At 44.5% G+C, this 22985-nt stretch overlaps 1 protein-coding gene across 8 annotated transcripts in view, besides 3 other annotated features; it reads right to left on the bottom strand.

Moving 5' to 3' along the window:
* The window catches only part of SERINC5 (serine incorporator 5), a 144824-nt gene that overhangs the window by 26000 nt on the left and 95839 nt on the right, over positions 1-22985 (bottom strand). For 3 of the 8 annotated variants that reach the window (NR_126061.2, NM_001174071.3, NM_178276.7), the window contains exons 8-11: positions 21612-21738; positions 13658-13724; positions 10021-10060; positions 8866-9010 (exon numbers count right to left, since the gene is read on the bottom strand). Coding sequence is in view for 6 of the 8 variants with exons in the window: in NM_001174071.3 (NP_001167542.1) it covers positions 8866-9010; positions 10021-10060; positions 13658-13724; positions 21612-21738 (379 nt within the window). In the remaining 2 variants the exon portion in view is untranslated. Of the gene's footprint in view, positions 1-1502; positions 6604-8865; positions 9011-10020; positions 10061-13657; positions 13725-21611; positions 21739-22985 lie in introns of those variants that run through there. The other 5 variants (NM_001174072.3, XM_047417080.1, XM_011543304.2 and 2 more) reach the window with 3 other exon arrangements.
* Positions 8276-8777: an enhancer, noted in NCBI's record as "H3K27ac hESC enhancer chr5:79441323-79441824 (GRCh37/hg19 assembly coordinates)". NCBI's record gives its function as "activates a minimal SCP1, AML or CMV promoter by ChIP-STARR-seq in naive H9 embryonic stem cells {active_cell/tissue: H9 hESC(naive)}" and the evidence as "EXISTENCE:reporter gene assay evidence [ECO:0000049][PMID:30033119]".
* Positions 14750-15249: an enhancer, noted in NCBI's record as "H3K27ac hESC enhancer chr5:79447797-79448296 (GRCh37/hg19 assembly coordinates)". NCBI's record gives its function as "activates a minimal SCP1, AML or CMV promoter by ChIP-STARR-seq in primed H9 embryonic stem cells {active_cell/tissue: H9 hESC(primed)}" and the evidence as "EXISTENCE:reporter gene assay evidence [ECO:0000049][PMID:30033119]".
* Positions 21692-22668: an enhancer, noted in NCBI's record as "NANOG-H3K27ac hESC enhancer chr5:79454739-79455715 (GRCh37/hg19 assembly coordinates)". NCBI's record gives its function as "activates a minimal SCP1, AML or CMV promoter by ChIP-STARR-seq in naive H9 embryonic stem cells {active_cell/tissue: H9 hESC(naive)}" and the evidence as "EXISTENCE:reporter gene assay evidence [ECO:0000049][PMID:30033119]".

Consider the following 22985-nt stretch of genomic DNA (forward strand, 5'->3'; position numbering starts at 1 on the left):
GGGTATATACCCAAAGGGAATGACATCAGTATGTCAAAGAGATATCCATACCCCTATGTTCACTGTAGCATTATTCATAATGGCCAAGATATAGAATCAGCCCGAGTGTCCACAAATGAATATAAAGAATATGTGGCCAGGCACAGTGGCTCACACCTGTAATCCCAGCACTTTGGGAGGCCAAGACAGGCGGATCATGAGGTCAGGAGTTCGAGACCAGCCTGGCCAACATGGTGAAACCCCGTCTCTACTAAAAATACAAAAATTAGCCAGGTGTGGTGGCGGCCACCTGTAGTCCCAGCTGCTACTCGGGAGGCTGAGGCAGGAAAATTGCCTTGAACCTGGGAGGCAGAGGTTGCAGTGAGCCGAGATCATGCCACTGCACTCCAGCTTGGGCGACCAAGCAAGACTCTAACTCAAAAAAAAAAAAAAGTGAGCTGGGCGCAGTGGCTCACGTCTGTAATCCCAGCACTTTGGGAGGCTGAGGCAGGATGATTGCTTGAGGTCGGGAGTTTAAGACCAACCCGTGCAACATAGTGAGACCCTATCTGTATAAAAAATACAAAAATTAGCCAGGCTTGGTGTTGTAGCCTGTGGTCCCAGCTGCTCGGGAGGCTGAGGCAGGAGGATTGCTTGAGTCCAAGAAGTCAAGGCCAAAATAAGCCATGATGTCACTGTACTCCAGCCTGGGTGACAGAGTGAGACTCTGTCTCAAAAAAAGGAAAAGTGGTATATATACACAATAAAAAATTCAGCCTCAAAAAGAAGGAACTCCTGCAATATGCAACAATTTGGAGGAACCTAGAAGACACGGTTAAGTAAAATAAGCCAGGCACAAAAAGACAAATGCTTCATGATCTTACTGATCCATGAAATCTTAAAAAGTCAAACTTCCTAAGTTTGACTTAAGAGATGCAGAGTGTAAAGGTGGTTACTAGGGGCTGGAGGTGGGGGACTGGGCGAGGGGGGAGTTCAGGGTGATGTTGGTCAAAGAACACAAAATATCAGCCAGAAGTTCAGGAGATCTACTGTGTAACACGGTGACTAGAGTTAGGAACCTGGCACTGTACCTTAAAAATTCTGAGAGTAGGCCGGGCACGGTGGCTCACGTCTGTAATCCCAGCACTTTGGGAGGCTGAGGTGGGCAGATCACCTGTAGTCAGGAGTTCAAGACCAGCCTGGCCAACATGGCAAAACCCCATCTCTACTAAAAATACAAAAATTACCTGGGCATGATAGCACATGCCTGTAATCCCAGCTACTCGGGAGGTTGAGGCAAGAGAATCGCTTGAGCCTGGGAGGCGGTGGTTGCAGTGAGCCGAGATCGCGCCACTGTACCCCAGCCTGGGTGACAGAGCAAGACTCTGTCTCCAAAAAAACAGAAAAAAAAAATTACTGTGAGTAGATTTTAAATGTTCTCAGCACAAAAACATGAGGTAATGCATATGCTAATTAGCATGATTTGGCTATTCCTGAATATATACATATTTCAAAACATCATGTTGCACACCACAGATATATATCTTTTATTTGTCAATTAAAGGATCAGCATAGACTCCATGAAACTTGAGAGACCTGATTAACATCTGAAGGCAACATCTCTGCAAAACAACTAACTTGAGTACTTTAATTATATATGTATCTAGCAGAAGAGAAAAAAACAACACAGTTTTAATTTTAAATTTTATTAAAGTACAGAGTTAACAAGTTTTGAGTTTTTTATATAGGAAAAGCCTAGTCAATTCAGATGCTTTCTAGAAAAATTAACATTAAAAAACAAATAGAAATCCATGACTAAAGGGGGAAAATAACTTTCAAAAGTTACCAAAATTCGAATCATATCAGAGACCATTATAAATTTCAAACAGTAGATTTACCACACATATTGCATTTTCAAATTCTAATGTAGCAAAACGTAACCACATAATTTGGCTACAGCTAATCGTTTCAGAAAAGTTTAAAAAATTAGCAAAGTTATATCTATAAAACTTTTGTAGTTTTCTTTTTGCAAAGTAAAAAGGCTTAAATCTTTAATAAAGGAAAACAAAACAATCCTCTTAAATTTCTTATAAATAGCTCTCCAGACATATATTACAAATCTGCTGTAAGCTTTCTTTACCTGAGAGAACTTCCCAGGATCCTTTATCCCAAAGGATTACCTTAAAGAGTTCTTCCATCATTTTACTCATGTGAATATGATTAAACTCCTATAGAAGTGGATTGGGACATATGCATTCTTAATCTGCCCTTCCCCATTTGTTTCTTTCTGAAAGGATTTTGCTTAAGGAAAAAAAAAGCTCTTTGGTAAAGGCCAAATATTTCAACCTTTCAAAATGACTGCCTCTGTGAAAGAGTTGTTGAGAAAGAAGAAAAGAGAGAGAGAGAGAAAGGTCTAAACATCTGTGTGAACAGCTCTCCAGTACTGTGAAGTCAAAGGCCCAACATTACAGAGCGCACCTCTGCCTGAAATACAAAACTAAGTTAACTAGCAAGTTACAGGAAATAGCCTTCAGTAAATTCCACAAGCCAAGTGGCTACTGCATTGTCCCTGAAGAAGGAGGGCCCAGTGTTCTTTCTGGGTGTGTAAGGTCTTACTTAGTTCAAGGTTTGTCCCTTCTTAGTTGTAGGTTGGGCCCTCTTTCGTTTCCAAGAGGTATAGGACACTAGAGTACACCAAATGAGATACTATTTGGAAAGGCAATAAAGGGAGTGTAAAAGCCTAGGTAGCTTAAATACAGGCTCTGGAATTTCCTTCGCAGGAAGGTGAAGCACCAATGATGGCAAAAATTAAATAAATACATCATCTTAAAAAGGCAGAGGGTAGGCTGCGTGCAGTGGTTTACGCCTATAATCCCAGCACTTTGGGAAGCCAAGGCGGGCACATTGCTTGAGCTCAGGAGTTTGAGACCAGCCTGGACAACCCCATCTCTACAAAAAAATAAAAATCGGCCAGGTGTGATGGGGCAAACCTGTGGTCTCAGCTACTTGGGAGGTGGTCCTTGAGCCCAGGAGGTCAAGCCTGCCATGAGTCAAGATCATGTCACTGCACTCCAGCGTGGCTGACAGAGTGAGCCCGTCTCCAAAAAAAAAAAAAAAAAAAAAAAAAAAGGCTTAGGGTGACAATTTTGACATGGGGACAGGAAATTAACATTACACTGAGGTTATTCATAATAAAGGATCTTCTGAGGAATCGGAAATAAACAATGTTGTATGGAAACAGAACCCCAAAACCCCAATAACTCCACCCTCCCCACAACCCACCCCCACTCTATCTCCCCTTCAAAGAGGCTCCAAATACCTCTGGCAAATAATTTCTTTTTCAGACAAAATGAAGAACCTTTTTGCCCAAGAAACTGTGGGCAAAAATAAAACTAACCAATCAGTATTTAAAAAGCTAGACACAGTAAAGACGTGGTTGGGTTTCTGAAGGCTTATAATGGAAATAGTCTCTAGTCTCCAGTCAGGTAACATGCCGCGGTATGACACTCCCATAAGAACCCCCACCCCCCTGCCACCCACTTAGTGTTTTTACTCATAAAAATGAGGGGAAAACTTTTCTACATCAGACAAATCACACAGAGGAAATATTCACATGCAGCTTTAAAAAAGTCCTCTTCAACTGTCATCCCTAAATGTGTCTGACCAGCAGCTTCTGGGAATATACTCTTTAGGTCATGTACAAAAAGGTGTAGGAAGCAAATGTCTATTATTTTTAAAAGATATCAGTGAGTTAATCAAATTAACACCGTTGTTATAGGAACTCAAAGCCATTGGCACAATGTTTCCAGTTTCTCAAATCACAATTGCACAAAACTGTAGATTCTTTAAATCCAGGAATGTTGACTCCTCACCTGAGTATTGTATATCACAATTAATAACCATTAACATTAACTCTGCATTGATAGTCCCTCAATCCTCAGATACATCCACATCTGTTTTGTTCATCCAGATACACGTGCTAACATTTTCAGCTGAGAATAAAATTCAGAGCAACTGTAACTCTTCCTCTTGCATCAGACCAACCGGCAGAAGGGAACGGGATGTCACAAACCAGACTCACGCATCTGGAAAACGTTGTGTGGCTGGGCTGGCTCCAGAAGGAAGCGACGAGGGCCTTCTACCGGCCACACTCCCTTGCTTGGGCTTCCCTAAGCTGCTTTCTGCAGAGGAAAGGGCCAATCACGGCCAGCCAAGGAATACAAGGCCTTGTCAGCTGGACCTTGACTGCGCGTAAGGTCAGTTTCTCAAATCACACCAGCTGGCAGCCAGACCCAGCCGAGAGGACAAAGCAAGGGCTCTGCTAGACCTCAGCAGGAGGAAAACAATGAAACTAGTCACAATACTGCCCAGGCTCTTTACCTGCTTCCCCTCAGGGTGTTTCCTAAAGACAACCCCCAAGGCCCTAGGCCACTGCAACACAGCTACTGTGTGTGACACGCAGCCCCACTCCCTGAGCCCATTCCTGGCCCACGGAACTCCTGTCCCCTAACTGATTCCTCAGGTTAGAACACGGCTTTTCATTTTGCGACTCCAGATGAATCTTTTAACTGCTGAGTACAGAGCTCCTGCCCTAAAAAAGGAAATTTAATGGAATTTACAAAACAAGGCTCTCTAAACCACACACACAGATGGAGTGCCTTTTGAAACTGAATCTCAAACACTCTAAGTAGGGAAAGTTCTAAAGGAATTCATCCCCTGTAATTTGTTTCCCCATGGGTTTTCTTGGGAGAAGGGCAAAGGAATGAATAGAAAGAATTTCACTAATTTCACCCACCAGCATTTTGGCACACAGAAGCCCAGCTTAGGTGGCACTCAATTCTGCCCAACTCATACAGTAGGGCACAGAAAAAAATGACTAGGCTGAGCCTTTTATTCTTAGATCCTCACTTACAGAGAGCTCGAGAAGATTCTTTCCACCCCGAATGAAATTCTAACAGGAGTTTCCACCAAGTAAACCTTTTCCCTGCCTGAATACATCAACACTGAAAATAGGCATCATCTTGGGTAGCTGCCGAAAGTCACGTTTCTGTATTACTTTGCAAGTACGTATTTTGGAAATTCCTGTGCAGCGTGATCTCGGCTCACTGCAACCTCCGCCTCCCGGGTTCAAGTGATTCTCATGCCTCAGCCTTCGAGTAGCTGGCATTACAGGCACACGCTACCATGCCCGGCTAATTTTTCTATTTTTAATAGAGACAGGGTTTCACCATGTTAGCCAGGCTGGTCTTGCAACTCCTGACCTCAAGTGATCCGCCTGCCTCTGCGCACCTCTTTTTAAGTATATTCGGCCACTTCCACACATTGCCTAACAAGCTTCTTCTGGTCAGTGTGTCTGAGATCCTCACCTCAGAAATTCTCACATTAGCAAACCTACTCCAAGGATGCCAGCATGAACCTGAACGGTATGGTCACGTTACAGATCCAGAACACAAAACGACTTCCGCTTTTACAGTTTCAAAGGCCTCAAGGTGGAGAAAAAACTGAGGGGCTGACCTCAACAACTGAAAGAGCAGTGCATGCAGCAGGCTTCAACACGAAGCAGCTTTTCAGTTAAGGTCCTAAAAGTATTATCATTATCAACAGCACAAACAAGTAAGAATGATAGCCCTCCATTGCTTAGGCAGAGAAAACATGAATCTTGTTCTATAATCATGTGAATAACACCATAAATAAGCGCCGTACTTATTGCAGTAACTCGGATCAGGTAGTGATAATAAGGTGGGGAACCACCTGGGGGGTGATCAGACAAATTGTGCTTTTTCACATTATTACAAAGATGTGGGACCCAGAAAAGATGAGACCTCGGGGAAGGGTGCAGGCAGAGAGTGAAGTCTGTGATTCCCAGCATCACAACCTCAAAGGGAAACGTTTAGGGGCCGTGAAGAGGCAGCACTGAGGGTGCAGTTGAAAAGCAGGTGCCTCCTCTTGGACCCTATAAATACCAGGGGCCCTGCAGGCTGAGTCCTGTCCTCAAAGCCCCCTGGGGACAAGGCTCTAAGAGGCGGAAGTGAGTGAGAGGGGTCTGGATTCTGTTAGGCGCTGGGGACTCAAGATTTTGGCATGTTTTTCTATTCCGAGGATGAGAATGACTGGCCCCACAAGATATTTTTATCCCTGTGAAAAGATGCTGTGCCCCAAATTCTGTTTTGGCAAAAACATGCAGAAGGAAGTCAACATAACTGGTATCCAGTTCCTAGGGGTAAGATATTTCAACCATGATCAGTTTGGTTGAAAATTTCAATTCCTTTGGGACAAACTGGTAGTTTCTTTTTGAATTTCAAAAGTAAAAAGCTAATCAGGAGATTTTTTTTTTTCTCTCTCAAAGCTTTTTCAGACCCACTCAGGCACAGGGCGCCAGTCCCTGCCCCGGGGACACTGTTCAAAAGATGGCACTTTCCAGGCTGTAGGCCCACAAAGCCCAGGGGACCGCCGATATCATCACACAGAGAACTCCCGGGTGGGGCAGCAGAGGGGAGCGACCAGCGTACACAGGTACAACAGCACGCATATCCAGCAGGAGGCCATCTTGACCCAGAAGATGGACCAGCTCCCGCTGAAGAAGCTCTCGATGTTGGCACTTTCGTAGCTGTGGAAACAAGACACCTAGCCGCGGTCAAAGCAGGAATATATTGAGATACAATTCACTAATTCACATCCATTTATAATGTATAATTCAACGGCTTTCAATGTATTCATACACAGACTTGTGCTACCATCAACACTACCCATTTCCAAACATTCTCATCACCCCCAAAAGAAATCATGCACCCCTTAGGTGCTCTCCCCTTCCCCATGGCCCCCTCAGCCCACCCCCCGCATTCACCAATCTACTTTCTGCCTCTATGAATTTGCCTATTCTGGACAGTTGATATAAAAGGAATCACATGGTCTCTTGTGTGTGGCTTTTTTGCCTGGCATACAATTTCCAAGGCTCAGCCACGCGGCAGCATGTGTCAGTCCTTCATTCCTTTTTACTGCTAAATAGTATCTTATTGTATGGATAGAGCACATTTTGTTTAGGCAGTCACCAGCTGATGGTCATTTGGGATGTTTCCCCTTTTTGATTATCACCAATGATGCTTGTATGAACACCGCTGTGTAAGTTTTGTGGACCTAGTTTTCTTTTTGTCTTAGGTATACGCTCAGGAGTAGTGGAAGAGCTGGATTACATTGTAACTCAATGTTTAATTGTTTAAGGAGATGCCAAACTCTTTTCCAAAGCAGATTTCACATTCAAACCAGCAATGTAAGAGGGTTCCAATTTCTCCACTTCCTCGACATTTGTTATTATCTGCCTTTTTAATTATAGCCTTCTCCATCTTTTCTTAAGCTTTCCAAGCCAAAAATTCCCAGGAGTTCCCAAAGCATCACTGGGAAGCATTAAAGCTCCCTTCTCCTCTCCTCCTTCAGGAAGAATCTCTCCAATCACTGTGCTTGAAACCACCACTCCCACCACCCCTACCCCAATTCCCTCTCCTAATTTTATTTTTCTCCCCAATACTCATCACCATCTAACACACCATATTTGACTTGCGTCATAGTCTGTCTCTCCTGCTGGACTATAAATCCTGCCTCATAGAACCGTGTGGCACATAGGAGCCACTTGCACATCTGTTGAATGAATGATAAAAGGAAGCACAATGAGCCTACATGTCTAAGCTTAACTTAGTGGTCAAAAAAATTATGATACAACCAAAGCTGTGGACCTGTAGAAAAAGTATGAACCTCTGTGTAGTGCCAGGGAAGGCCAGGTCAATCATGTACTGCCAAGTTAAAAAAAAAAAAGCCTCCAGGGGAAAACATGTATAATGACATTTATGTTAAAAAAAAAATTAGCTGGACATGGTGGATCATGCCTATAATCTCAGCACTTTGGGAGGCTGAGGCAGGTGGATCACAAGGTCAGGAGTTCGAGACCAGCCTAGCCAATATGGTGAAACTCCGTCTCTACTAAAAATAATAAAAAAAAAAATTAGCCAGTGTGGTGGCAGCACCTGTAATCCCAGCTACTCAAAAGGCTGAGGCAGGAGAATCACTTGAACCCAGGGGCGGAGGTTGCAGTGAGCCGAGATTGCGCCACTGCACTCCAGCCTGGGTGACAAAGCAAGACTCCAACTAAAAACAAAAAAAAACTACAGAGGTTTATAAATGCACAGAAAAGGAGAAGGATACACATCCTAGCAGTGGTTATCTGTGTGGGGGAAGTAGAGGCGGGGGGGTACCACATTGTTACTTTTCATAATTCCACATTTAGTTTGTATTTTAAAAAAAGATGTTTCCAATTTTTGTAATGAAAATGAAGAAAAATGGGGAAAAAGATACACAAAATTTGAAGTAGAAAAAAAAGGGATATTTTCTCTTTCTGAAAGGCAGATGAATGCTTAGGAGTTCCTATTTTTCCTTCATTACCATGTTTTCCAGACTGTCCATATAGAGCTAACTTTCCATTTTCTTAAAGTTGCCATAAGCATCACCAGTTTCCAGGGTTAAAACATACCCATCCACTGTTAAAACTCAGAACTCGCTTGTAATCCCAGCACTTTGAGAGGCCAAGGCAGGTGGATCACTTGAGGTCAGGAGTTCAAGACCAGCCTGGCCAACATGGCAAAACCCCGTCTCAACTAAAAATATAAAAATTAGCTAGGCATGGTGGTACATGCATGTAATCCCAGCTACTCGGGAGGCTGAGGCACAAGAATCGCTTGAACCTGGGAAGCAGAGGTTGCAGTGAGCCAGGATCGTGCCACTGCACTCCAGCCTGGGCAACAGAGTGAGACTCCTTCTCAAACAAACAAACACGAACAGTACTTAACTCTTAACTTTAAGGCTTTGCTTCAAAAATACCTAAGCAAATGGGCCACTCACTTGAACCAGTTGGTGACGGTCATCATCACATACAGGGAAGCTAGGAAGAACACGAAGTGGAAGTAGGAGTAGATGTAGACGGTGCCTTTCTTCTCGTCATAAATGACCCGTGGTCCCTCCTTCCCCGGCTGCTGCTCTTCAGTGTCTGTGAAGCACAGAGGGAGCCCAGGCTCAATGAGTGAATGTGTGTGTTTACCATTCAGCAAAGTCACGCTCGCTAATTCTACAGGGCTGTCAGTAGAAAAGATGCCAGAAAGCCATCTGTACCCTCTGGCAACTTCAATCTGTGCCCTAAGCACAAAACCCCCACTCCACCCTAGCAACTTCCGTAACAGGAAGAGTTACCTAATGCCACATTTATTTTTATTTATTTATTTTTTGAGATGGAGTTTCACTCTTTTTGCCCCGGCTGGAGTACAGTGGCATGATCTTGGGTCACTGCAACCTCCACCTCCCAGGTTCAAGCGATTCTCCTGCCTCAGCCTCCCAAGTAGCTGGGATTACAGGCACACGCCACCACGCCCGGCTAATTTTGTATTGTTTTTTAGTAGAGACAGGGTTTTGCCATGTTGGCCAGGCTGGTCTCGAACTCCTGACCTCAGGTGATCCACCCACCTCAGCCTCCCGAAGTGCTGGGATTACAGGCATAAGCCACCGTGCCTGCCCTGCCACATTTATTTTAACAGAAAGAGAACCCTTAAAAACCCTTAAAGACGTAAAACTTACTATAAGCTCAGCAGAAAGTGAGAGTAAAACAAGAGTTAGTTCTCAAGCCCTTGGAATCCTCCAATCCACCTTGGAAAGTAAGGTGAAGGAATGAAATGGCCCCAAAATAAGGTGTCAGGACCTCTTGGTATTTTCCAAATCACTCCTTTTTAAAAAATGTGCTCTCTGATTCTCTAAATCTCACTGTATAATTTAACTTACATTTAAACCAAAATTTGGACTGATTCTCTCTACCAGAATACCAACACAAACAAAACTCAGCTATCCTTCAGGAAGAATGTGAAAAGTGTATAAGTAGTAAGTCAGCTTTAGAATAAAACTTTCTCCTTACTATTCAAGTTATTTGTGTCTGAATCCCAAATGACTACAGATTAGAGTTATAGGTCTGCAGTGCCACACAGGTGCAAAGAATAAAAGCGCTCTGCTTACCCTCTCCACCAGGACTGAAGCAAAAACAACAGCGAGCTATCTGTGAAAGCAAAAGCAACAGTCAGGCGGCTTGTGTTCTATTTCTAGTCCACCTCAGCAAGACAACAGTAACCCTTATTTGAACCACCTCCCAGGCCCTTCAAAAGATGTGGACTGTTCTTTCCCAGGTGTGCTGGGTGTTGGTGACAGGAAACCCCATGGAGGGAGATGTGCCACAGAGATCCTCATCCGTGGACTTGGTGCTCGCTCCTGCTACCATGAATGCTGAGAGCAGAGCCTCGAGACAGGAGCTCCTTTACCCTTCCTGGGTAACTGCCATGGAATGGCTGATCATGGCAGGGGTAAAGGCCGTGCCTTTATGGCTCCTAGGGTTAGGGAGGCTTTGTCCAGCTGCACTGTCCTTCAACTTCACCCTCTGCCCAATTTTGCCTCCCCTTCCCCTTCTCCCTCCCACATGTGCTGACTTTTAATAAATATCCCACGCAACAAACTGCCTCAGCCTCTGCTTCTGGAGAACTCAATGTGAAACCCAATGAACGTGACAAGAGCCCCACTCTCCTGGTGCTCCCTTCTCGTGCTTTGCTTTCAATGTTATTTCATTAAACCCTCTTTGACCTTTGCATTGGGCTTATTATTATCCTGTGTACAGCTGAGGAAACTGAGGTCAGGCAGGTTAACTGGCCAAAGTCACCAAACTAGCTTAGTGACAGAGCTGGAACAGACGAATGCAGGATGGGGACACCAAGATCCATGATTCACAATAGGTAACACGTGGTATCTAGGAGCTTGGCGAAGCTGGTAGGATCTGAAATAGTAAAGTGAAGGAATCTGGAAGCAGCCTACCCATGTTTCCTATCAAAATCAAGCTGTTGCACGGGCCGTGGGCAGGGATGGAGGGAATGCTTGCCTTTGAAGCATCTCTGGTACCTTGCGTATTTTTTATTCTTTTTTTTTTTTTTTTTTGAGATGGAGATTTGCTCTTATTGCCCAGGCTGGAGTGCAATGGCACGATCTCGGCTCACTGCAACCTCTGCCTCCTGGGTTCAAGCAATTATCCTGCCTCAGCCTCCCAAGTAGCTGGGATTACAGGCATGTGCCACCATGCCTGGCTAATTTTGTATTTTTAGTAGAGACGGGGTTTTTCCATGTTGGTCAGGCTGGTCTCGAACTCCAGGCCTCAGGTGATCCACCCACCTCGGCCTCCCAAAGTGCTGGGATTACAGCCGTGAGCCACTGCACCCGGCCATTATTTCTTACCTACTCAAAACAATAAACTTAATTTTAAAAAATCAGGTTATGTATAGTCCCAGCTATTTGGGAGACTGAGGGAGGAAGACTGCTTAAGCCCATGAGTTTGATGCTGCAGTAAGCTGTGATCCCACCACTGCACTCCAGCCTGGGTGACAGAGTGAGGCCCTGTCTCAAAAAAAAAAAAGCAAAGAAAAAAAGTATGTGATTTCAGAAGGACTCTGGTAAACAGAGTACTAAGACAGCCTGGGAAGTGCAGGGCCCTTAGCACTTTGTGGCTGAAGATATTTCAACTACAAAGAACAGAGAGCCAAGGATAAGAATATGAGAGCTTGAGCCTTCATCTCATTTGTGTATCAAGGCCAAGCCCTTGTTTCCCTGCTTGGCAAGGAAACCTTTAACGGAGGTATTAGCCTTAACAGGAGCTTGGATTAAGTGCCATGGTCTAAAAACCACTAATTCATTCAGTGGGCCCAAGACACGGTATGCTGAGGTCTTAGTTATTTTGAAGTTCAAGTTACCATAAGAAACTATGAACTCTCACTTTCAAAGTTGTATCCTGTGAAATGTGACGCAGGAGAGCAAACCAACTTCCATCCCGCATGCTCTCCAGTTCAGAAGGAAACACTCGGACATTTTCCCTTGGACTGAGAAGAAAAACATCCTCTCTTAAATCTAACTTGGAGACTTGCTGTTCTTTGAGCTTGAACTCTGTACACAATAGGGACATTGAAACCATAACCATGCAACCTCAGCAGGTGGTCACCTAGTCAATGGTGAGAATAAACACCCCTTCTACAGACCATTCTCTTCTCTATAATAGGCAGTAACCTATTCAAACTCAGCACAATTTTCTCCTTTAGGCAACAGAAAGAGTTGGTGAATGATGTTGGCAGATGACAGCCCTTCATAATGGCTCACTATATCCAGGTCAGGTGCAAGAGAGACCAACCCCAGACACCCAGCTGCAGAGTAAAATGCCCATATCTAGACAGACACCAGGGCTTTTCCATCCACGGAAAGCTATTAAAACGCAGGCAGTGGCCAGAAACCAGCTGCCCGCAGTCAGCAGCAAGGACCAGGGTTCAGCAGCTCAGCTCCTGGGCAGCAGTGGTCAAGAACACAGATCCTGGGGCCAGAGTACACGGTTTATATTCTGGCAAATCAAAACCTGTGAGGCTTAAATGACTTAACTCTTCTGGTTTTCCCCTCTGTAAAATGGAGGTAATAGCACGTCACTGGGTTTTTATGAGGATTAAGTGAAATCACATAGGAAGAACTTAGAACAGTGCCTGGGACATAGCAAGTGCTGTAAGTCTTAGCCATCTTTGGAACCCCTGGTTCTTTTCGTTCTTGGGTCACAGCTGAGTCCTTCCCTGGCTGCCTCCATCTGATTAGACCTTGCTGTTGTTGGTAGATGAGAGCCCCAGAAAGACTCTTGCACAATTAAGAAAATAACAGACATTTTGTTGACTGATAGGCATCTGCTGAACACCTTGAGGCTTTGGATGTGCAGGCAACCAATGTATGTATTGTCCATAACACTCTACCTGACAAAACGCCCACCTGATGGAACTGACAAATGAGTTAATGTATCTACAACGTTCAACAGCGTCAGGCAGAGCAGATATGGTTCCTTCCCTTTCCTCTCTCCTTTCTTCCAAACAGCTATTACATAATCTCACAGCCACGCTGTGTATGGAGGGCACAGACAAGTATGAAACAGGTGGGTGGATCAGAAGTTAAAATAAAACCCACCAAGACTCCACTACGGCAAGGGAAGAGCGCAGGGTGCAGCCTGACAAGGTTACCTGAGCCTCTGGTTGGGGGTGAGCGGCAGGATGCCACCCAAGAGGCCAGCTTTCTTACAGAAAATCAAGAATGGACTGATTCATTTTAATCCCATAGCATACAAAGGAAAGCAGGAAAGCATTTATTTTTCTTTTTTATTTTATTTTTTTGAGTCAAAGTGTCACTCTATTGCCCAGGCTGGAGTGCAGTGGTATGACCTTGGCTCACTGCAACCTCTGCCACCAGGGTTCAAGTGATTCTCGCGTCTCAGCCTCCCAAGTAGCTGGGACTACAGGTGTGAGCAACCATGCCTGGCTAATTTTTGTATTTTTAGTAGAGATGGGGTTTCACCATGTTGGCCAGGCTGGTCTTGAACTCCTGACCTCAGGTGATCCACCCGCCTCGGACTCCCAAAGTGCTGGGATTACAGGCGTGAGCCACCACACCCGGCCAGCATTTATTTTTCTATACAAAAATCTTTCCTCAGCAGAAAAACAGGATCACGGAATGCAGACTGATAAAGACACAAACACAAAAGGCCCTCCTGAGAAATGGATCTTCTGAGATGAAGCAGGACAGGAAAAGGAAATGAACTTACCTCCAATTCAGGAGCTGCGTATCGCCCCTGCAGAGCGTCAGAACTCGATCTTGTTGTTGATGTCAAACTAAGAAACAGACAAAAACGTCAGCTGGGCATATTAACACATTACAACACATGGAATGAAGGGGAAAGCCGGCTGGCCAGTGCTCCGACGAGAGCCTCAATGTAACCTACCGTTCAGGAGACTTAAATCAAAGCAATCTATTTTAATACCTCTCCTTATTCCAAAATTGGCTGGCTTATTCTATAGTTGATATCATTTTACATGGATTGCATTAGATCATTTTATGCAAAGAAGGTTGTAGGTAGAGAAGTAAGATATCTTGGTTTTCAGTATTGCTTTTTGCCTCTCCTCCCTCAAATGCTACAATAGTTTTCTAATTTCAGTTTATCTTTCCCTCCCTTTGACTAGTCTTGCTTAGAGGGAATCAAAAGCAACGAGCCCAGAGATGGCAACAGAAAGCAAGGGCATGAAAGCAAAAGTCGCAGTTATTTACTGTGATAGCCTATAGTAGAACAAGGCTTGCTGTTTGGAAGAGTAGCAGTCGAGGTAATAAAAAATTCTGCCACTTCCCTGAGACCTAGAAAGGTAAAATGTTAGACAAATTGCCTTGCATGGGGCAAAATAATTTATTTTTCCTGAAAACAAAAACAGGCCAGAAGTGGTGGCTCATGCCTGTAATACTCTGAGAGGAAGGGGTGGAAGGATCACTTGAGGCCAGGAGTTTGAGAAGAGCCTGAGCAACATAGCAAGACCTCATCTCTACAAAACAAAAACACAGAACATTTTAAGCAAATATATACAATACTTAGGGTTCCAGCTAACTTTACAGATTGATTTAGCAAATATTTACTGAAGGCCACTATGTGTCAGGCCCGATTCTAAGCACTGGGGACTCAGTGACACAGGCAACAATCCTGCCGTCATGTAGCTTCTGTGCTGGCCTGACATGGGCGGGCGTGTTGGTGCTCAAGAAGCTGGTCTGCTCATGGAAAGGTGGGGACACACACTCATCTCAATCCAGCGAACCCCATGAGGCAACACTGCGCAGTCTCATCCTCTTTCCCAAGGAGAGAGATCAATGAGACAGAGATAAACAATAAAAAGCTTTCTCATACAGAAGCCCACTGAGATCCAAGTTCACTGTTTCTTTTGTGGTCCACTCAAGTACAACAGCATCACTTTCATTTCTGCTTTGAACTGATGCATGCTAATCCAGGCCCATGCCACTCCACCTCCTGACTGTGTGCCTGGTCAGAGGAAGACAGAAACATCTCCCAATGACTGCGCACCCAAGGAACACAACACCTAATCCGACATTTAAGAGTGGCCCGGCTGGGTGTGGTGGCTCACACCTGTAATCTCAGCACTTTGGGAGGCTGTGGCAGGTAGATCGCTTGAGCCCAGGAGTTCGAGACCAGCTTGGACAACTTGGCAAAACCCTGTCGCTACAAAAAATACAAAAATTAGCCAGGTGTGGTGGCACATGTCTGCAGTCCCAGCTACTGGGGAGGCTGAAGCAGGAGAATAAATTGAGCCTGGGAGGTTGTAGTGAGCATGATCACACCAGTGCACTTCAGCCTGAGTGACAGAAGGACCCTGTCTCAAAAAAAAAAAAAAAAGAGTGGCACATATCCTGTGCATACAAGTTTTGATTTAGTACAGTGTATAGTTTTCACAGGGGAAAAGATAAGTTTTTAATTTTAAGAAGAGATCACTATCTGAAATTTTCATTTGAAAGGTTAACATTCATTATTTATGAGGCTCAGAATAGGCCAGGTGCAGTGGTTCACGCCTGTAATCCCAGCACTTTGGGAGGCCAAGGCGGGTGGATCCCTTGAGGTCAGGAGTTCCAGACCAGCCTGGCCAACATGGCAAAACCCCATCTATAGTAAAAATACAAAAATTAGCCAGGTGTGGTGGCCGGCAGCTGTAATCCCAGCTGCTCAGGGGGCTGAGGCAGGAAAATTGCTTGACACTCAGGAGGCAGAGGTTGCAGTGAGCTGAGATCACGCTACTGTACTCTAGCCTGGGCGAGAAAGTGAGACTCTGTCTCAAAAAGAAAAACAAAGCCTCAGAGTAAATATTCTACTCTATAAATTCTTTGGGTTAACGTAATTTCCGGAAAACAAAGCTCTTGATTTGGGCTCCTTTGCCACTTCACCATCAAAGAGGCCTAACATGGGGAAGCTTTTGATTTTACTTTTAAAAAGAACTACATTCAGAGCATCATTAATGCCATGTGACTTCTACAGGTAGATGTTACCCTACATTAAGATCTTTATTCAGTTGCCGGGCGTGGTGGCTCACATCTGTAATCCCAACACTTTGGGAGGCTGAAGCGGGCAGATCACCTGAGGTCAGGAATTCGAGACCAGCCTAGCCAACATGGTGAGACCCTGTCTCTACTAAAAATATAAAAATTAGCCGGGCATGGTGGGGGGCGCCTGTAATCCCAGCTACTCGGGAGACTGAGGCAAGAGAATTGCTTGAACCCGGGAGGCAGATGTTGCAGGAAAAAAAAAAAGATCTTTATTCAGTTGTAGCCTTTCTCCATACAACACTCTTCTTGGAATTATCAAGAAAAGGTTTTTTTTTTATAAGCTCTTAAAGCCTAGGAAATTCTTATTATCTGCATTCAGGCTATTACAAAGACCACTGTTTGGTGAGCACAGCACAAATTGCTATAAAACAATTCCTGGGTTACCTATAAGCCTTACCTCTTCCTGTGCTAAGATAGGTGTGACTTTAACCCAGTATTTCCCGTGGGGATAGGAGGAGACTTACAGCATTGGGTTAAGACAATGCTTTATTGTACGGAGAATGCCTAACACACCACAGCGTGTTTACTGTCTCTGCCTGCTGCCACCCCACCCCAACCCAGCCAAAATGCCAGCAGTGCTCTGCAGTCATGGTGACAGCCAAAAAAAAAAAAAAGAAAAGCCGTGTCCTGTTTCCCTGCAGAACCACTACAGTGCCCAGAACCCCTTCACACTGGCAGAAGAATGCACAATGCAGGTGCCCCTCAACACTGGCACTGCAGATGCTTTTGAAGCTGGCCAAAGTCCACTAGACCACAGAAAATCTCTAAATAACACGTCCAAACTTTCCTGGAGATCACACATTCCGCCTCCCTGACAAACGTACAGGGTAGGCCCTTGACAGATCCCGTGACTATTCCCAGCCTTTGTGCAATGATGAAGATCAGTCATGCTCCCCTGTGCTATAGAACCCAAAGGAGACCTGAGCTCTCTGTGAACCTGGGGCATGGGGTGGAAGATTTCTTTTTCTTTCTTTCCTTTTTTTTTCTGGAGATGGAGTTTCACTCTTTTTGCCCAGGCTGTAGTGCAATGGCTCGATGTCGGCTCACCACAACCTCTGTCTTCTGGGTTCAAACGATTCTCCTGTCTCAGCCTCCCGAGTAGCTGGGGTTACAGGCATGCACCACCATGCCCGGCTAATTTTGTATTTTTAGTACAGATGGGGTTTCTCCATTTTGGTCAGGCTGGTCTTGAACTCCTGACCTCAGACGATCCACCCGCCTTGCCCTCCCAAGGTGCTGGGATTACAGGCGTGAGCCATCACGCCTGGCCACGGGGTGGAAGATTTCTAACTTGGAGATTTCTAGCTGGCAGGCAGGCCAGAGCAGAATTCCCAAAATGAAGACACAAATCTCCCCCTCTCCTGGTGGGGAAGATACAAATTTCCCCACCCCCCCATAAAGGCCCAGAATGTACCAAAAAAATAAATATTCTTCCTTGATTTCCCAACTTTTTTTAATGTAGAACAATCCCCTCGGCAATGCTATCACACCAACCTGCGAACCTCCCCACTTCAAACTAGGAAGTTGTTTGACATTGAATAAAGATTCTTACTTTTTCCAGTTTTATATTTAAAAGGATATTTTCAAAGATGGTTCAATATTAAGAATTATTTTTTCTCTTAAACACAGATAAAAGTGGAATGGTCAGGAAACTTTATAGTGCAAATGCCTTGTAATAATATAATTACGCAAGTCATCCAGTTTATCTTTCTCCCTCAGGGGACATTACACCAAGCCATCTGAAGAAAAAGAGCCGGGGAGAGACTATCCACCAGTGTCCCTAAATACTCCCGAAAAGGAGCCTCAAGGAAAGGTTGCCCGAAGTTGGGAGTAGAGAGCTACAGGTATAGGCTCCATGCTTCCTTACATGTACAATGAGGAGACTGACCTGATCAACTCTGGGATCCTGTCCAGGCTGACAGTCTGAAGTTGAAGGCAACAGAATAACAATTTCAATCAAAATCCAGAGACCAAGGGAAGAATTAAGAAATAGTTCGTGGAGGCCAGGATTTGTCACAGCAAAGCTCCAGACTAAAGGGGTGTGGAGGGATGCGCCTATAGAAAGAGCCATCAGGGCTGGCCATGGCGGCTCACGCCTGTAATCCCAGCACTTTGGGAGGCCAAGGCGGGCGGATCACCTGAGGTTGGGAGTTCGAGACCAGCCTGACCAACATGGTGAAACCCCGTCTCTACTAAAAATACAAAAATTAGCCGGGCATGGTGGCGTGGTGGCACGCGCCTATAATCCCAGCTCCTCAGGAGGCTGAGGCAGGAGAATCGCTTGAACCTGGGAGGCGGAGGTTGCAGTGAGCTGAGATCCTGCCATTGCACTCCAGCCTGGGTGAAAGAGCAAAACTCCGTCTCAAAAAAAAAAAGGAAGAAAGAAGGAGAGAGAGAGAGAGAAAACCATCAGAATGCCAGGTGTCATGGTTATGCCTGTAGTCCCAGCTACTTGGGAGGCTGAGGCAGGAGGATCCCTTAAGGACAGTTTACCCAGCCTGGGTAACATAGTGAGAACTTGCCTTAAAACATTTTTTTTTATCTAAAAAAATAAAAAGAGCTATCAGAGAACTCCCACAAGTGGACCAAGGTTAGGGCTTACATGGGGTCCAAGCTATGATGTTCTTTCACAGCAATGATTCCTGGGTGCAATGGAAGGAGGCTCTGGAGAGAAGGCAGCCCCAGGCAGAAAGGCAGGGAGTAGGTTTGGGTTGAGCCCTTCTTCTGAGCTGAGGCTACAAACATTAAAACATACTCCTAGAGAGTACCCCAGCTGCAAGAGTCAGGATGGAGATACCCCAAAGGAAACAAGTATTTGGGGGTGGGGCTTGGGGGCTCTGGAGGGCGAAGGGAAAGAGAGGAGCTAGGGAGATTTCCAGTCTTCTACAACTTTACAAGAGTGGACCCCAGGCAATCTTGGCCTTCTTCTCCTTTTAACTTACATACTATCTATAGTCTCTGGCTTCCTGCAATTTCTATCAAGAATCCTAGATATTCCTGCAATTATGTTCAAATGACAGTTCCCACACGGACGATGTGGCCTTTTTGTAACATCCTCCAACCTTTCATTCCTCTGAGTCAGGAAGGAAAACAAACTCTTCAGAAGTCCAGATCTGAAAAAACCCTAGTTGGGCTAACTCCCACCCCTACAGCATTCCTTTTATTCCCAGGCCCTACAAAGCCTGAATTTAGTGTTCTTAAAGCTGACCCCTCGAAGAGCTGCAGTGAGTAATTACAGCAAACATCAATCACATGGACCCCGGGGGAACTAACTCCTAGGGGGCCCAGCCCACAGAGTGTGCTCTTGCCTACAGATTACAGAAGTACGCTACAGAGCAGAGTGGTCATCCTCATCTCCACTTTGTAGGGGCTGCAGTTTTATATGTTCTCATCCCACCATACACTGCAGTTTTGTGGTTTACGAATTCAATAACAATGTTTGTTGCTGGTATTTAGACAGATTTTTTTTTTAGTAGCTATCAACTTTGAAAATTGACATCTTTTGGGAATATCAGACCAGCCCTTACCAATCTCCACTATGGTACCTCAGTCCTGTAAGAAACAACATTTTATTTATCATCTCTCACTCAAGGGCCAACTCAGAAGAATTCTTTACACCTGCTAGAAATAGTGAGAAAATATGATAGGGTGAAAATTCCATGTTGTGAAATGCCCTATGTGTGGTAACCATTATGCAGCAGGCTAAGAAGAATTTTTGCCATCTTTTCCATTGAAGGGTTTATGGCAAATCCAAACTCTACTTTATTTAAAGGGTTTTTTTTTTCTTTTTTTTTTTTTTTTTTGAAATACAGTTTCTCTCGTTACCCAGGCTGGAGTGCAATGGCGTGATCTCAGCTCACTGCAACCTCCCCCTCCTGGGTTCAAGCAATTCTCCAGCCTCAGCCTCCGGAGTAGGTGGGATTACAGGTGCATACCACCACACCCCGCTAATTTTTGTATTTTTAGTAGATATGGGGTTTCACCATGTTGGCCAGGCTGGTCTCAAACTCCTAACCTCAGGTGATCCACCCACCTTTGCCTCCCAAAGTGCTGGGATTACAAGCGTGAGCCACCGCGCCTGGCCAAGGGCAAATATTTTTTTTCATTGGGTACCCAGTAACCCACAAAAACATGATTTTATTCTATCAAATATCTTCATGGTTGGTTTTTCAAAAGACAGGGTCTCACTCGGTTGCTTAGGCTGGAGTGGAGACACCCCTAGCTCACTGCAGCCTTAGACACCTGGGTTCAAGTGATCCTCCCATCTCAGCCTCCCAAGTAGCTGGGACCACAGGCACGTGCCATCACGCCTGATTTTTTTTTTTTTTCGTAGAAACAGGGTCTGCTATGTTGTCTAGGCTGGTCTCAAATTCCTGGGTTCAAGTGATCCTCCTGCCTCAGCCTCCCAAAGTGCTGGGATTATAGGCGTGAGCCACTGCACCACGCAGCCTGCTTCCTATATTGTAGGTACTCTGCGAACAACTTAGGAATTAATAAAATTGAAAGGCCAGAAAGAAGTTACCACAGTCCATTCTGCAACAACAAGGAGACTCTGTCACTATGTCACACAGGCCAAGAATGAATGTATGTCACCATCATCTTAACACCTACCTGTAAAACAACAAGCATTTTATTGCTTGATGTGTGACCCTGAGCAAATAGACTCTAAAAGGTCTGTGTCCCCGTTGGTCCCTTTCTAATAGTAGAAGTTGTTAAAGGAGGTAAGAGAAAATGCCAACATGCTCAGAAAGACATTATATTTATACAAGCTATCACCACCAGGAGTATTTCGTTTCAGCAAAAAGGAAGTTTACAATGTGCCTATGGCTGAATTCAATGGAATTGAATTTTTATACTGAACATTAACAAAATGTAAACACAGAAGTAAAGGCTAAATGTGAAAAGGTTACTGTTAAAGGGAAGCTTAGTTATCAGCGAAATATATATCCAGATTAACTAGCCATTTCTATCCTTGACTTTTCTCCCTCTAGCAACCTTTTAAACCTTTTAAAGGTGGAATAACCCCCACCACAAGCATCTGAAACACAGCCCACTCATATATCACATCTACTTTTGGAGGAGCTGCTTTGCCGAGTGAACAACAGCATTGTGGGTTTAGCAGAAAAGAGAATGAACATTTCTTGTCTGCACAGAATGACCACGCACACAGCACTCTGTACTCTTTCCATCAACAGCAGAAGAAAGCTATTTCCTTTGGATCAGAAAGCTGCCAGGACATGCTGGCACATTCTATCTCTTCTTCACTTTGTGCTCCCCTGCCCTCCAGTAAAGGTATAGCAAACTACTATTCGACCATCTTTTAAAGGGGGTTAGGCAACGGTGCTGCAACATGCCATATATTTGCTTTATTTACCCCAAATAAAAACAAGTAAGGTAAACGAAGTTCAAATATTTACATACCATATATTTGCTTTATTTACCCCAAATAAAAACAAGTAAGGTGAACGAAGTTCAAATATGAGTTCACGCTCTTCGCCTTTTTACTTGTGGTTATTTTCCCCCCTCCTCAAATGGTTGCAGCCTCACAGCTACTGAAAGTTATTTCAATTCTTTTCCTGTAATTTTAAAGTCTGCAAAAGTGACCTTGAGTAACTCCCAAGACTTACCATGAATACAAGATACATCCGATTAAGAGGCTGGTCCCCAGTATAGTCACCAAGTTTTCATCTCTGTACAGGTCTTGACCAAAGTCAGGCACACAGATTGTAACATTTTTCCCATGTTCATCTAGAACTTGAAAAGAAAAAACAAAGTCATCACAGTCAAGTACAAAGGCCAGTTGTAACGCACAGAAGCACTCATTTTGGGAAAATTCAGGTAGCTGTGGTGTACCTCCTTAGAACAGTGAACACTTATCACTGGAAACTTCTACTCTACAGGCTGTTTCCATGCAGACTGGATTTCTGCTCTTTCAAAGAACATTCTCCCACATCATCACATCCTTGGAACAAGACCCTCAGATTCCAGCTCAGTGCCATGGGGCTCAAACAGATCCAGAACCTAAGGAAAGAGTCTTGCTCGAAGTCAGGTGCATTTTTCAGTTGACAAGGCAGCCTCTAAAGAGAGGTAGGGTGCAGATACCAAGCAGTGCTGAGGTGAATCAACAGCCAACAATAGCTCCTAAACTAGTTGAGAAGTCATTTTGCTGTAAGTGATATGATAATCGTGGTATCTTTCTGTCTGTAACTTGGAAACTCCTGAGGTGTGTTTTTTTTTTAATGTGAGTGGCTACATGTGATATTGTGAAATATATATTTGGTCTTCATTCGCATTTACTTGCATGCAACTCCTAAAATCTTTGAAATCTCCAAAATGGTGTCTTTTTATATGTTAATGACTGACTAATGGCTGGCAGCCCCTAGGTAGCCTCAGGATGGGGGCTGGTCACCAGAAAGACCAAGGTAGGATTAGAGGGCTGGGACTTTCAGACCCACTCTCCAAACTCCAGGAATGGGAGGAATGGTAGTTGATCACCAAGGGCCAATGGTTTAATCATTTAATCAATCATGCCTGTGTAATGAAGTCTCCATAAAAGGCCCAAAAGGACATGGTTCAGAAAGCTTCCTGAGAGCTGGAGGCTTACAGGAAGGTGAACACCACCTCATCCACATGTTAGGAACCCAGCCACACCAACTGCATGGAGACAGCTCAGGACCCTTTGAGACCTTGCCTTATATATATTTTTACCTGCCTGTTTATTCATATTCTTTAAAATATCCTTTGTAATAAATCAGTAAAGATAAGTATTTCCTGAGATCTGTGAGCCACTCTATCAAATTAATCCATCCCAAAGAAGGGGTAACTGTGGGAGCCCTAACAGTTGGTCAGAAGTTCTGGAGGGCCGGACTTGTGACCAGTGGGAATGGTAGGGCTGTTTTGTGGAATTGAGCCTTCGACCTGTGGGATCTGACCTTATCTCCAGGTAGAGCATCCGAATTGGATTGGAGGACACCCAACTGATGTCCACTGCCTGCTTGCTG

This window comes from Homo sapiens, chromosome 5, assembly GCF_000001405.40.
Source record: "Homo sapiens chromosome 5, GRCh38.p14 Primary Assembly".
NCBI classification, from domain to species: Eukaryota; Metazoa; Chordata; class Mammalia; order Primates; family Hominidae; genus Homo; species Homo sapiens.